This window comes from Homo sapiens, chromosome 1 (assembly GCF_000001405.40).
Source record: "Homo sapiens chromosome 1, GRCh38.p14 Primary Assembly".
Taxonomy (NCBI): Eukaryota; Metazoa; Chordata; class Mammalia; order Primates; family Hominidae; genus Homo; species Homo sapiens.
Genome location: NC_000001.11, coordinates 166,039,332 through 166,052,102, shown reverse-complemented (window position 1 = coordinate 166,052,102; position 12,771 = coordinate 166,039,332). Strand labels below are relative to the sequence as shown.

Genomic DNA, 12,771 nt, shown 5'->3' with positions numbered 1-12,771 from the left:
CTGATGGCAGAAATGATCCCCCAAATCATACTTCTTCCAGAGATCCCAACCCCTAGAGGAGCAGTGCCCCTCAGTGGGAAGTAGGAGAACTTAGGGCGCCCATGACCAGGCTACATTTCAAGGTTATCAAGAGGTGGCTTGCAGTCTGATTCTCTTGAGTATTTAATGATACACAAATATCTCCTCAATGTCAAATAAATAGCAGCCATGAGGCTGCCATCCACTTGCAGAGCTAAGCAATTTAGTTTAAAAGAAAAGTGAACAGGCCTAGCTCCCCAAGAGTTAAGATCCAATATGTCCCCTGACTTCCATGCATCTCTCTTTCTCAGATTCAGAGATTCCTACGCCCTCTCAATTGTATAAAGCCTCATGGCTTACCAAGTTTTGACACATATAGTGGTACTTCACTTCATCCTATCAACAACCCTGTGGGTGTTACTAGCCCTGATTTACATATGAAAAAACAGTCTCATAAATGTCAGAGCTGGGGCTTGAGTTGAAGTTTCCCAATCTTGTCTATCCAGTGTGCTTTTCATGGCTCTGGTGTGGAAGTTTAAAGCTGAGAAAGAAGCCTGCATATTATGCAGCCATGCCATTTTTCAGAGAAGAACACTAAGGTCCAACAAATAAGTCCATTAGCTTAGCCACATAGCTTATCCTGAGCTCAGCAAAGAGAGACATCCTCTGCCCCTGCTGTTAGCTAGCTGGGGTCTTGCCGACTCAGGGATGGAGAGGCTGCCACCCCAAGGAAAGGCCCTTGAGAGAGGACTGAGGGTGGGGTGAGTTTCAGCCCAAGCTTCTCCCTCCCCTTTCAGGTGGGAGAGAGGCAGGGAATGCTCCAACTTATTCCACTGGGTTTTGTGCCTCCATCTGTTCTGCTTCCAGCAGAGATAAGCCCTCCAGGCAGTGTGAGCCTCCAACATAAGAACCTACCACACAGCTACAATCCTAGCCCTGAATCCTAGCTACAATCCTAGCTGTGAACCCATTCCAGGGGCATGGAAGGGCTGAGGGGCTTCTGGGCAGTAACAGTAAGTCACCTATTTCATGTGTGGCCTCAATTCCATGCCAAAAGCTACCACAGAAATGGGAGTGCCCCAGAAAACCACTTCCCTTTAGGATGTGAGACCCCTATGTTTCCCTCTTTCTAAATACCATTGAAGCCCCAGGGAGTATCAGTGATAGTCCACTGATACACCAATTCATCCACCTACCAGCTCAGTCAAAAACTGGGCCCCTCACCACACGCCTCTCTAGCTGAAGGCTCCTGCTGCCTTGGGAAGTAGGTGCTGAGGTAGCTGTGTCAGGGATCCTTGAGAGTGTCCAGAAGCCCTGCTAAGGTCTGGAAAAGACTGAGGGGCACATCCCATCCCCAGCCCTGAGGAAATCCCCCTCACCTGGGCCAATTCTAGGAAGGTTGATTTCAAGAGAATTCTAGGCTGATTCACGTGCTCTATGAAGAAACACATTTTGGAAAAGAGGTCCAATCCCAAACCTAATCCCAGCTGGCCCTGTGTTCTTTTCTTTCCCAGGCTTTCCCCTGACAGTTTGCTACTTACTGTGTTATTCTATCACACAGTCCCATCTCCCCTAAAGATGGAAAAGACACCAGGAGGTCTCAGGATGGATGGGCTGAAGCTCATTGCAAAGTGATTGCGTGTGCATGCACAGTGAGTCCGAGTGCTGAGTTACTTAGTGACCACTCATCCTGGGATCTTAGAGGCAGGGAGGCTCCTACCAAAGTCGCAGGAAAAATAGCATGAAAGCTGACAGAGGGCTCCAGCTCAGTAATGCCTCCTTCCCTCCTGAATGAAAGATTTTTCTGCTGGTGAGCTCACTTAGGCAGAAACCAGAAGCTATGAACAGGGAAATTCCTGTATCTCTGTTTAGCTCCTTTGTTACCAAATCGCACTAGGAGGCAGGAACTTGGAAAGGAAGGCAGCCCCTCAGAGGTTCAGTATAACAAACATCTACTGTGTTAGGCTGTTGTTGCATTGCTATAAAGAAATCCCTGAGACTAGGTAATTTATAAAGAAAAGAGGTTTAATTGGCTCATAGTTCTGCAGACTGTACAGGAAGCATGGTACTGGCATCTGCTCGGCTTAGGGGGAGGCCACAAGGAGCTTTTACTCATGACAGAAAGTGAAGCGGGAGCAGGCATCTTACATGGCAGAGCAGGAGCAAGAAGTGGGGTTTGTGCCACTCTTTACTACAACCAGATCTCGTGAGAACTCAGTCACTGTGGTAAGGACAGCACCAGTACATGAGGGATCCTCCCCCAGGATCCAAACACCTCCCACCAGGCCCCACCTCCAACACTGGAGATTACATTTCAACAGGAGGTTGGATGGGGACACATTCAAACTATATCATCTACTATACAGGGGATGCAAAGAGGAACACGGCATTGCCTTCCCAGCCCCAAGGCTCCCGAATGACTCTGTGAAGATGCCTATGACCTAAGTCTGGTAGAGGGACATGAGGCCTCTAGGAAAGAGGAGAGTGGGTCTTAGAGTCGACGGAGCAGGGGCTTGAAAACCAAGCTGAGGAGTTTCCCAGTAATTTCTCTTGTGGTCCACAACCAAGTAGACGCGAAGAATGGGCCCAATTACCTCTCTTCATTTCCATTATTCAGCCCTCATAAATATTCATTTATTATTTATTCAACAAATATGTAAGGCACACCTACATATACACATACACCTATGTAGGGCACACCTATGTAGGGCACACCTATGTAGGGCACACCTACGTAACACTTATGTGACAGGCACTGCTCTAGGTGCAGAGGACACAGGAGTGAACAAAGCAAACAAAACCTTCAGGAGCTAGCATTCTAATTGGGAGTTAGGGAGTGATGAAGAATATTAGTACATAAACTATATGTCGTGTTAGTGTAAGTGCTGTGAAGGAAAATAAGGCAGGAAATAAGAATGCAGTTTGTTGAGGAGCTTAAAATAGGGTGGTAAGAGAAGGTAGCAGATGAAACACAGACTTAGATGAAGAGTCATGCAGATACCTAGAGAAGGCACTTACCAGGAAGAGGAAATGAGCCCTGCAAAGGACCTGAGGCTGGATCGAGCCTGATCTCATCAAGAGCTGTAGAGGCTCAGTGTGGCTGGAGTGGAATAGGCCTTATCCTTAAGGTTCAGCTTGCCAGGGGCTCATTTGAGTGCCCTTCTGAGTTTGAAATGACACATCCCACAGGTTTTCTTCAGAAACGGGGATGTTCTGGCTGGATAGCCAATTTCCCCATGAAGATACTTCAAACTAGTAGTTCCTAGGTCCTCAATGGAGGTAATGAGTTCAGAACTCTTATTCAAGAAAGGAAGGAAGGGAAAAAATAAGGAAAAGTAATTATAGGACACTCAGAATATTGGAAAGACTGTGGATGTGTAGACAGAACTAAGTTCTGTGCACATGCTGTGCTGTTCTCGTCAGGCCTTTGCCCAAGCTGTGCCCTCTGTGGATGCCCCTTCCTCCCCTTGCCCCAGCTCATGCTGCAGGGCTCAGCCATTCCGTCTACTCACACATACCTCTGCACTCATGTAACTGTTCTGCAGTTTGTTACAGTTCCTGAGGCCAGGAGCAATACTATATCCCCTGGACTTCAGAAGAGATGTCCATTGAGCAAATGGAAATGAGATTCTAGAATCAAGAGCCTAGAACCTGTGCTGTCAGGGCAATTGTTGCAGTCACGTGGAGGAAGCATCTACACAAGGCAAAACAGTTCCTTTTTGGAGTTACTTTTCCTTCTCATTGGCTCTGTGAGTTGACAGACAAGCCTGGCATAGGGCCCTTGAAACAGTCAGTCAGTCCCATTCCCCATAGGTTGGGACTTGAAACGCTTGCAGTGGAGCAGCACCTTCCCAGGGCTGGAATCAACTGGACACAACCAAGCTCCTTGTCTTCATGAGGACCTTGCAGGAGTCATGTGGCTGAGCCTCTCCTGGGGAAGGAGGAAAGGGTCCCATCACTGGTACTAAGTCCCCGTAAGATGAACCCAAGCAGGAATCTACATCAATGGCATTTTTAGGGACCCAGAGGAAATGTTCCTTGGCTTTGGCTGCTTATCTTTTGCCAGAGATTTCAGCTGTGGCATTTGCTACCCCAAGGGTCCAGAGGCTTGCTCTCAAATGCCCCTGTCACTAAAGGCTGTTTTGCAGGAGCCAATTACCAGGGTAAGTCACACTTGAGTGAGAAAAGGCAGTGGGGCAGGTGCAGTGACAGCCTCCTCAAATGCCCACGGAAGCCCACCTCAACATGGCACCTTTCACACCTCATAACTCGCAGCTCCGGCTTCTGCCTCTCAGTATCACACAGAAGCACAGCAGCAGCCACTCAAGGTGCCAGCAAGGCAGATGTAATTGTCTGGGGCATCAGGGTGTGAGAAAACAAATCCTTTGTAGAACAAATGTGGGAAATGCTTCTTTATTTGTTTCAAATCATGTTTTCTGTAAAACTGGCTCTCAGGCAAGAGAAAGCAACATAAATATTTTGGAGGTTGAGATGATTAAAGCACAAGAATGAAATAAAGGAGATTCTGCAATGTAGCTCTTCAAACAGGAGGGACTAACCTTATTATCTTTTGAGAGAGGGGGCTTGGGAACTAGGAGGATGGGTAAGAAGGAGATCCATTTTTTTATAGATGCCTTTTTTCCGTATTTGAATTGTTTCTGTGTATGTGTAATAACTTTTCAAAAAGTTTTAACTCATCCTATGACTATATACACCCTTTCCCACATTTGATATGGGTATTTATACTGCTCCTGTGTATTTCCCGTTCAAGAAGCAGCAAACACTACACTTACTGAGCTTACTAAGTGCCAACTGCTTCAACCTTCCTCAGTTCATCTTCATGACAACCCTGCAAGGGAATGGAATGACCATAGGTTTTATAGGTGAAGAAACTGAGGCTCACTGACATTAACTCACTCCAGTGCACTAGGTAAGTGGCAGTATTGTACTTAAAATCCAGGTCATCGCACTGCAAAGCCCATATTGGACCTTGTTCTTGACTTCTGTTTATACCCTGAACCAAGGAGATCTGGATTCGATTAGGAGGAAGGTTCCAGAGAAAGGATGCTCTGTTTATACTGACTGAGAGGCATGAAGATGAAATCGAACCCTCTCCTCCCTCCTCTGTCTTGGAAATAACACTTCCCTTTTCCCCATCTGCCATTTCCCTTCTGGTGTTTGTTTCCTCCCGAGTCTCAGCAATACCTAATGCTGCATTGTCTCTCAGACCCTGGTCAAGACAGCAATGAGCTCTTCTCACCTGTGAGTGTTAACTGTTTCATAATTCAAGCCTATATCCATGATCCTTCCCCTCTCTCTCTCTCTCTCTCTCTCTCTCTCTCTCTCTCTCTCTCTCTCTCTCTCACACACACACACACACACACACACACGTTCTGCATCAACTTTCAAAACTGTCAAACCAACACTCTTACACCAGAATATTGGCCCTGCACTAAGGCCTAGAGACTGGAATGAACCATTTGCCCAAGTATAGGTAGGATAGGTAGGGGCAGAATGAATGAGTTGGAGTCATAGTGAAGCCCTGCATACCCAAGGCCATATTCCTGTGTTCATGGACCTAATGATACACTCATGGTCTCATCTTAGGAGCCCCAGAAAATGCTACTTCCAGCACAAATATCCCCCAAGAAACTACTCTCAGTGGGAAATGCCAGGATTTCCTTTTGCTTGAGGCTTTGATCCTGTTAGAATGTACTTCCCCCTGGAAGGACAGCCTGATGCCATAGAAAGACAGCCCCTTTCCCACCTCCACTCAAGCTGCATGCCTGGTTCTGCAGTCCGTATACCACACAACTCTAAGGGTGCCATTTACATTATAATTATTATTGATTTGTATATTTTGTGACAATTTTATGGCAGATGGCAAAGGTCTAGCACTGGTGTTGCTCACCCCCAACAGGACAGAATCCACTTTATCCTGACCCTTTGCTGCCTTGACTTATACAGGGAATGCAGGCTCCATGAACCTTGTCTGCCCCATTCTCTTCTTTCTTCAGGGGTTTCTGAAGGGAATGGGGCAGACAAGGTTCATGGAGCCTGCATTTCCTCTATAAGTCATGGGGCTCCTAAGATGAAACCATGAGTGTGTCATTAGGTCTACGAGCACAGGAATATGACTTTGGGTGTAATGGCTTTGGGTGTGATGTCGTCTTTCTGCACTGTAACTGGAGCCAGGGTTGAACTCTCTCTAGGAGACCTTGCCTGGGGACTCTAGCCCAGGACTTCTCACTCAGAGTGAGCAGGGATTGGAGAAGGACATGGGAATGTATCAGAATCATGGAGGCGGAGGAGGAGGAAGAGGAGTATTTCAAAATACTCAAAGCTGGGACCCCTCACTTAAATTTCCCACCGACACAGGAGGAGAGGAACCAGGCCCATGCATTTTGAAAAGCTCCCCATAGCCCTCAGCCCCACTTCTATTGGAAAGCGTCTCTCTGGCCTGTGTGGAGGCAGAGTAGACACAGGCCTGAAAGGCTTCAAGGCACCAAAGCATCTCACTCCTGCCTCACCAGAAGGCCCAGAATTCTCCCCCTGCTCACGCCTTTGGGTTAAGGCATCAAATCTAAATGTTATGTTGGAAACAAGTACACTAATGTTAACTGGCTTTTAATCTAATTGTTGTTAACATTCACCCAGCTCTAAGCAGAAGGTTTTGATAGGTGACCTCATTCAGTCTTCATGGCATATGCTATCTTTATCCCCTCCTACAGAAAGGAAGACATAACAATCATTTCTCCTATTGCCCCTACTGTTCCTTCTGATTGGACAGCCCAAATCCCAGCATGGCTCACTTCCTCCCCTTCAAGTCTTTGGTCAAATGTTACCTTCTCAATGGGACTGGCCCTGACCAGTCTCACTAAAAGTATCATCACCACTCTTCATCCTCAGCACGTTGCTCCACTTTCCCCCATGGCCCCCATCATCTCTAACTTACAGATAATTTGTTTATTGTTATTGTCCTGTATCTCCATCTCCATCCCCATCCCAGTAGCAGGGAAGTTCTGTAAGAAAGTCTTTCTCTGTTTTTTTCACTCAGTATTCCAAGCACCTAGAGCAATGCCTGAAGGTGGGTACTCAAAAAGTGATAGTTGAATGGATGAGAAAGAGGATAAGCATTTCCTCAGGGTGTTCCAGCTGTGAGCAGAGGACAAAGGACAGACTGGAGCTCTTATCCACACTATGCCACTATTTTGTTGAGACCTCCCTCCCTCAGTTACAGCAGAGATTTGCTCAAGTAGCCTCAAATAAGGAAGAGTTTACAATAAGGAGCCATATGAATGGGAACCAAAATTAGAACTAGAAACATCTCAGGGACCAAGTTAGCCATGGGGGCTGCCTACGTTTATTTTTTTAAATTATTTTATAGACTTAGGGGGTACAAGTGCAGTTTTGTTACATGGATATATTATAGAGTGGTGACATCTGGACTTTTAGTGTAGCAATTACCCAAATATTATACATTATTCTCATTAGGTAATTTCTCATCCCTCACCCCACTCCCACCCAACTACCTTTCTGAGATTTTGATGTCTATTATTCTACACTCTATTTCCATGTGTCTGCATTATTTAGCTTCCACTTACAAGTGAGAACATATGGTATTTGACTTTCTGAGTTATTTCAATTAAGATAATAGCCTCCAAGCTGGGTGCCATGGCTCACGCCTATAATTGCAGCACTTTGGGAGGCCGAGGCAGGCAGATCACAAGGTCAGGAGTTCAAGACCAGCCTGACTAACATGGTGAAACCCTGTCTCTACTAAAAATACAAAAATTAGCCAGGCATGGTGGTTCGCGCCTGTAATCACAGCTACTCAGGAGGCTGAGGCAGGAGAACTGCTTAAACTTGGGAGGCAGAGGTTGCAGTGAACTGAGATCGCACCACTGCACCAGGCTGGGTGACAGAGTGAGACTCCATCCCCACCCCCAAAAAAAGATAAAAGATAGTAGCCTCCAATTCTATCCATGTTGCTGCAAAAGACGTGATTTCATTCTTTTTTGTGGCCAAGTAGTATTCCATGGTATGTATAATCACACTCTCTTTATTCAGTCATTCATTGACAGACACTTAGGTTGATTCCATGTCTTTACTATTGTGAACAGTGCTGCAATAAACATATGAGTGCAGGTATCTTTTTGATATAATGAGTTATTTTCCTTTGGATAAATACTCCATAGTGGGATTACTGGATCAAATGTTAGTTCTATTTTTAGTTCTTTGAGAAATCTCCATACTGTTTTCCATAGAGGTTATATTAATTTACATTCCCATCAACAGTGTATGAGTTTCTTTTTCTCCACATCTTTGCCATTATCTGTTTTTGTTTTGTTTTTTTTTTTTACTTTTTCATGATGGCCATTCTGACTGGTGTGAGATGGTAACATTATGGTTTTAATTTGCATTTCTCTGATGATTACTGATATTGAGCATTTTTTCTTATGCTTGCTAGCCATTTGTATGTTTTCATTTGAAAAATGACCGTTCGTGTCCTTTGCCCACTTTTTAATGGGATTATTTGCTTTTTCTTGTTGAGTTGTTGGAATTCCTTGTAGATTACGGGTATTAGTCCCATGTCAAATGCATCATTTGCAAATATTTCCTCCCATTCTGTAGGTTGTCTGTTCACCCGGTTGATTATTTCTTTTGCTCTGCAGAAGCTCTGGGAACTGCCTACTTTACCTCTTTCATGGGCTACTTAATATTTCTCTTTCATGGCCTCTCTCTTCAAGGGTGTACTCTGTTCTCTCTCCTGCTGAGTGTGTCTGCTCCTTTAGTTTCAATCTGCCCATTGACTACGTGGCCTCTCTGGTCCCTCTCCTTTGGTTCCCTCATGCCCTTTCTGCTTCAGCTCCCACTCCTGATTGCCACCTGCTCTCTGTATTTCCCTTTTGATTTGCTGGGAGAAGCCTGTCTGATTGGCTGATGCATGTCGGTGATGGTAGGCTAGCCAATAGTGGCTGCCCTTAGATCAGGTAAACCCCCTCACCACCAGAGAAGTCAGGGAGCTGGTGTCTCAGAGCACAAAGCACAGGCAATAAGCAGGGGCTGTAGGTGTGACTCAATCTATAACTTGTTCACTAGAACTATTTACTGGATTCTCTCTAACAGAGATAAAGGTCAGGAGGCAAAGGGACATATCAGTTTTGATGGAAAAGGAGGGTTGATGAGAGGTCTGGGCACTGCATGTGAGGTTTGCAGACCTGTGGGCAGCTTCAGGAACTGGGGTACCCAGAAGCTCTGATGGCCAGGAAAGTGGGCAAAGCAAGTTCTAAAGAAGAATGGAGGGGTCTGGGCACAGTGGCTCATGCCTGTAATCCTAGCACTTTGGGAGGCCAAGGTGGGTGGATCACTTGAGCTCAGGAGTTTGAGACAAGGCTGGGCAGCATGGCAAAACACCATCTCTACACAAAATACAAAAAAAAAAAAAAATTAGCCAGGCATGGTGGTGCATGCCTATAGTCTCAGCTACTTGAGGGGCTGAGGTGGGGGGATGGCTTGAGCCCAGGAGGTCAAGGCTGCAGTAAGCCAAAATCATGCCACTACACTGTAGCCTGGGTGACAAAGCGAGACTTTGTCTCAAAAAAAGAAAAAAGAAGAACAGAGGAGTAAAAAAATCTTGGACACCTTTACAGTTCTACCTTAAGCTAGGCTTGTTCTAATACTCACAGTTTGTCTTTCTTTGACCACCTAGATTCTAATGACTTCTTTTTTTCAGCCTAAAACACCAGGTATTCCCAGGTGGTCTCCCATCTGTGTACTAACCACACCTGACTGCTTAGCTTCTGAGATCAGGAGCATTCAGGGAGGTATGGCTGTAGACTGAGGGCCCTGATGACTTTTAAAGAATCCTAGAAGGAGCAAAGATTCCAGGTGTGTTGACAGAATTCAGATGCTAAAGTGAGAAACAGGTGTAAAACAGTCCTCCTCTCTCTCCAGAACCCCTTTTCCCTTCCAGGGACCTTTGAAAGACCCTGGATCAAACTATGGAGCAGTGCAACGACTATTCAACGCCTTCTGGTGCTAAGGGCCTCTTCTCCTTACCTTGAACTGACACCCATTAAGGAAGCCTGGCCCAGGAACAGTGCCTACAAACCTGCAGATTACAGGGGCATTTGACTTGATGGTGGCCTCAGGGCATTGGGATTAAGGTGTTAAATGGAGAGTGCCCCCTGCTTATCCCTGAATGCCCAGCGGGCAAAAAGTTTAACCTGAAAGAGTGAAGATGCCTGTATGTGTCCAGGGACTGTATACCCTGCCTGACCCTCAATTCACCAGGCTAGACAAGCCTTCCCATAAACAACCGAGGGCTGTGGCTAACCCTCCCCCTGCCACATAAATGGTAGCAGAAAAAGCACTGGCTCTAGGTCCCACCAGGTGAATCCCAGTAATGCAAAACCTCCAAACCTCCTCTCTTCTCAGCAGGTCCAAGGGAGCTTTTGACCAACACAGTCTCCTTTTGACCACCACAGTCCTCTGGAGGTCCAGGCGATCTCATGCCCCAGCCTGATTGCCTTTAGTGGCTTCTGCCATGCACTTGGGATCCCTTGGCTCTTCTCATCACCACTAGATTTGGTGTTGTCCCCTTCAGAACCACAGTGATGACCAGAGTTATCAACACTGACATGGCCAGGCTTCTGAAGGGCTGTCTCCATCTGTTACAACTCCCATTGTAGGGTTCCCAGAATGGTGGCTTTGTGCACTTGCTTTTTCTCTCTCTCTCTTTTCTCTCTCCCCACTCCCCACTTCCTTGATTCTTATAGCTTCCTTTCTTAACAAACTCAAGACATGACCCAAGATCCTACATTACAGGCATTTGTAGGATGCCCACTCCAAAACTATTCAACCCTCCAATAATCACTCAGAGTCCCAGGACAGACCCAAGGCACCTCAGCTCCCTGTTGCCTCAGATGAATTCCCAGTGCATCGAGGTCATCTTCTGGAAAGGTAGGGTAACATCTCAGTCAAGACACCTACATCCAGTGCCTTTGAGTCTTTCATTCTCACTATCCTTTTTTATCCATGGAACTTTTTCATTTTATAAGGTTTATTTTATGTGTTTTTAATAAAGAAAGGCATGAGATTGTCCCCTCCTCCTCTCCCACACTCTTTCCTACACCTGTGCAGACCACATTTACTCTAGCCTTCGGGCTTTGCCTATAAACGGGCTCTGGCAGCAGCCTGGCTCTACAGACTCCCTAGGTGGATACAGAGCCACACCTCCCTCTACACCCTCCTTCATTAGGGACTGTCTTTAATAGCTCTTTCTCGGGGTTTCTGCCTTTGTTTCACACAAAAGCCTCTCAGGGCAGGCAGAAGCCTCTGTTTAGATGGGGCCTGTGTCTCTGGGGCATTGCTCTGCCTATAGGAGATTGTTATTTACAGCTTTTTAATATCTGCTTTCCATTCCTAGCCTCTCAAGAAGCAATAAAACGGGAGATACACTTGCAGCTGCTCTAAAAACTCACCTGGCTTTAAACAAAGGCTTCTGGTGACTTGGTTCCCACCCTCTCAGTGGGCCCAGGTCGGGGGTTCCCACATCCCTGTAATTATGCTTTCGGTTCCAAAGGAATCTGAGGCCACTCCTTTGAATTGCCTGAAACAAGGTGGTGTATTTATGTGTAAGCAAGCCAGAAAGCCAGAAAGGGCAAGCCCACGGACCTTCCAGGTGGGAGGGCCCCAGTGCCTTGAATAAATCCAGGAGCCTTCTAGCACTCAGGGCAAGGAATCCATCAATAAAACATCAAAGGCCAGTGCCATTAGAGGAGGTAAAGCGGGATATTTTATTCATGACTGTATTTTGAAGGGGCTTGCTCATGACTCACAAATTATTCATGAGCTTTTTCTATTTTTAAATGTAAATTACAAGGGTGTTTAAAGGGGCGGAAGTCCTACACCCTTCCCTTTGGTACCACTCTGCTATTTTTGGGAAAGACTGCCTCATTTCAGGTAGTCCTGTCTCATGGCACGCAGTCCCCATTGTTATGACCGAGGGCCTCTCCCAAGCAATTGGAAGGCAGGTTGAGCATCCGCCCCCAGGCCTGCCTTTCTGCTGCTCATTGTACCCACAGCTCCTGGCCAATCAGTACCAGAGACCATCACTGTGACAGGGGTCATAGTGACCCAGAGGTCATCTCCTACATCAGTGATGAAAATACCATCTGTAGACCTGCTTCTGAATCTCCCAGGGCAAATCTGTTCAAGGTGCAGATTCCTGGGCTTTCGTCTGACTTTCCAAACTAGAATTTCTGGGGTAGGGTCCAAGGATCTTCATTTAAATAGGTTCCCTGAATAATTCTTATACACATTACAGTTTCAGGAGCACTGGGCTAGTCCCATGGTTTTCAGACTTTAATGTGTGTGTGTATCAGCGTTACCTAGACAACTTGTTAAAACACAGATTGCCAGGCCCCACCTGTAGAGTTTCGGATCCAGAAGGTCTAGGGTGGGGTCTGAGAATTTGCATTTCCAACAAGTTCTGAGTCAGTGCTGATGCTGCTGATCTGGAGACAGCACTTTGAGATATGGAGACTGCACTTTGAGAACCGCTGAACTAGTTTATCCCCTCCTGAAGTCTCTTGAGACCCAGGTAAAGGATGAGTTCGATGAGAATGCAGGTCTCCCAGCCCCCAGGCCTATAGGCCACTATTCACCATTGCCTCTCATCACATCCAGGAAGCCTTTCTCACTTTTGAGCTTGTTCCCAGGGCCCTCTGACCGGCCAGAATATGGCCG

The 12,771-nt window shown here is 46.3% G+C and overlaps 1 pseudogene, besides 1 other annotated feature; it reads right to left on the bottom strand.

Moving 5' to 3' along the window:
- On the bottom strand, positions 9,753-9,859 carry RNA5SP64 (RNA, 5S ribosomal pseudogene 64; annotated as a pseudogene).
- Positions 11,114-12,313: an enhancer, noted in NCBI's record as "CDK7 strongly-dependent group 2 enhancer chr1:166009027-166010226 (GRCh37/hg19 assembly coordinates)". NCBI's record gives its function as "activates an origin of replication core promoter dependent on BRD2, BRD4, P300/CBP, MED14 and CDK7 cofactors, with strong dependence on CDK7, by STARR-seq in HCT116 cells {active_cell/tissue: HCT116}" and the evidence as "EXISTENCE:reporter gene assay evidence [ECO:0000049][PMID:35650434]".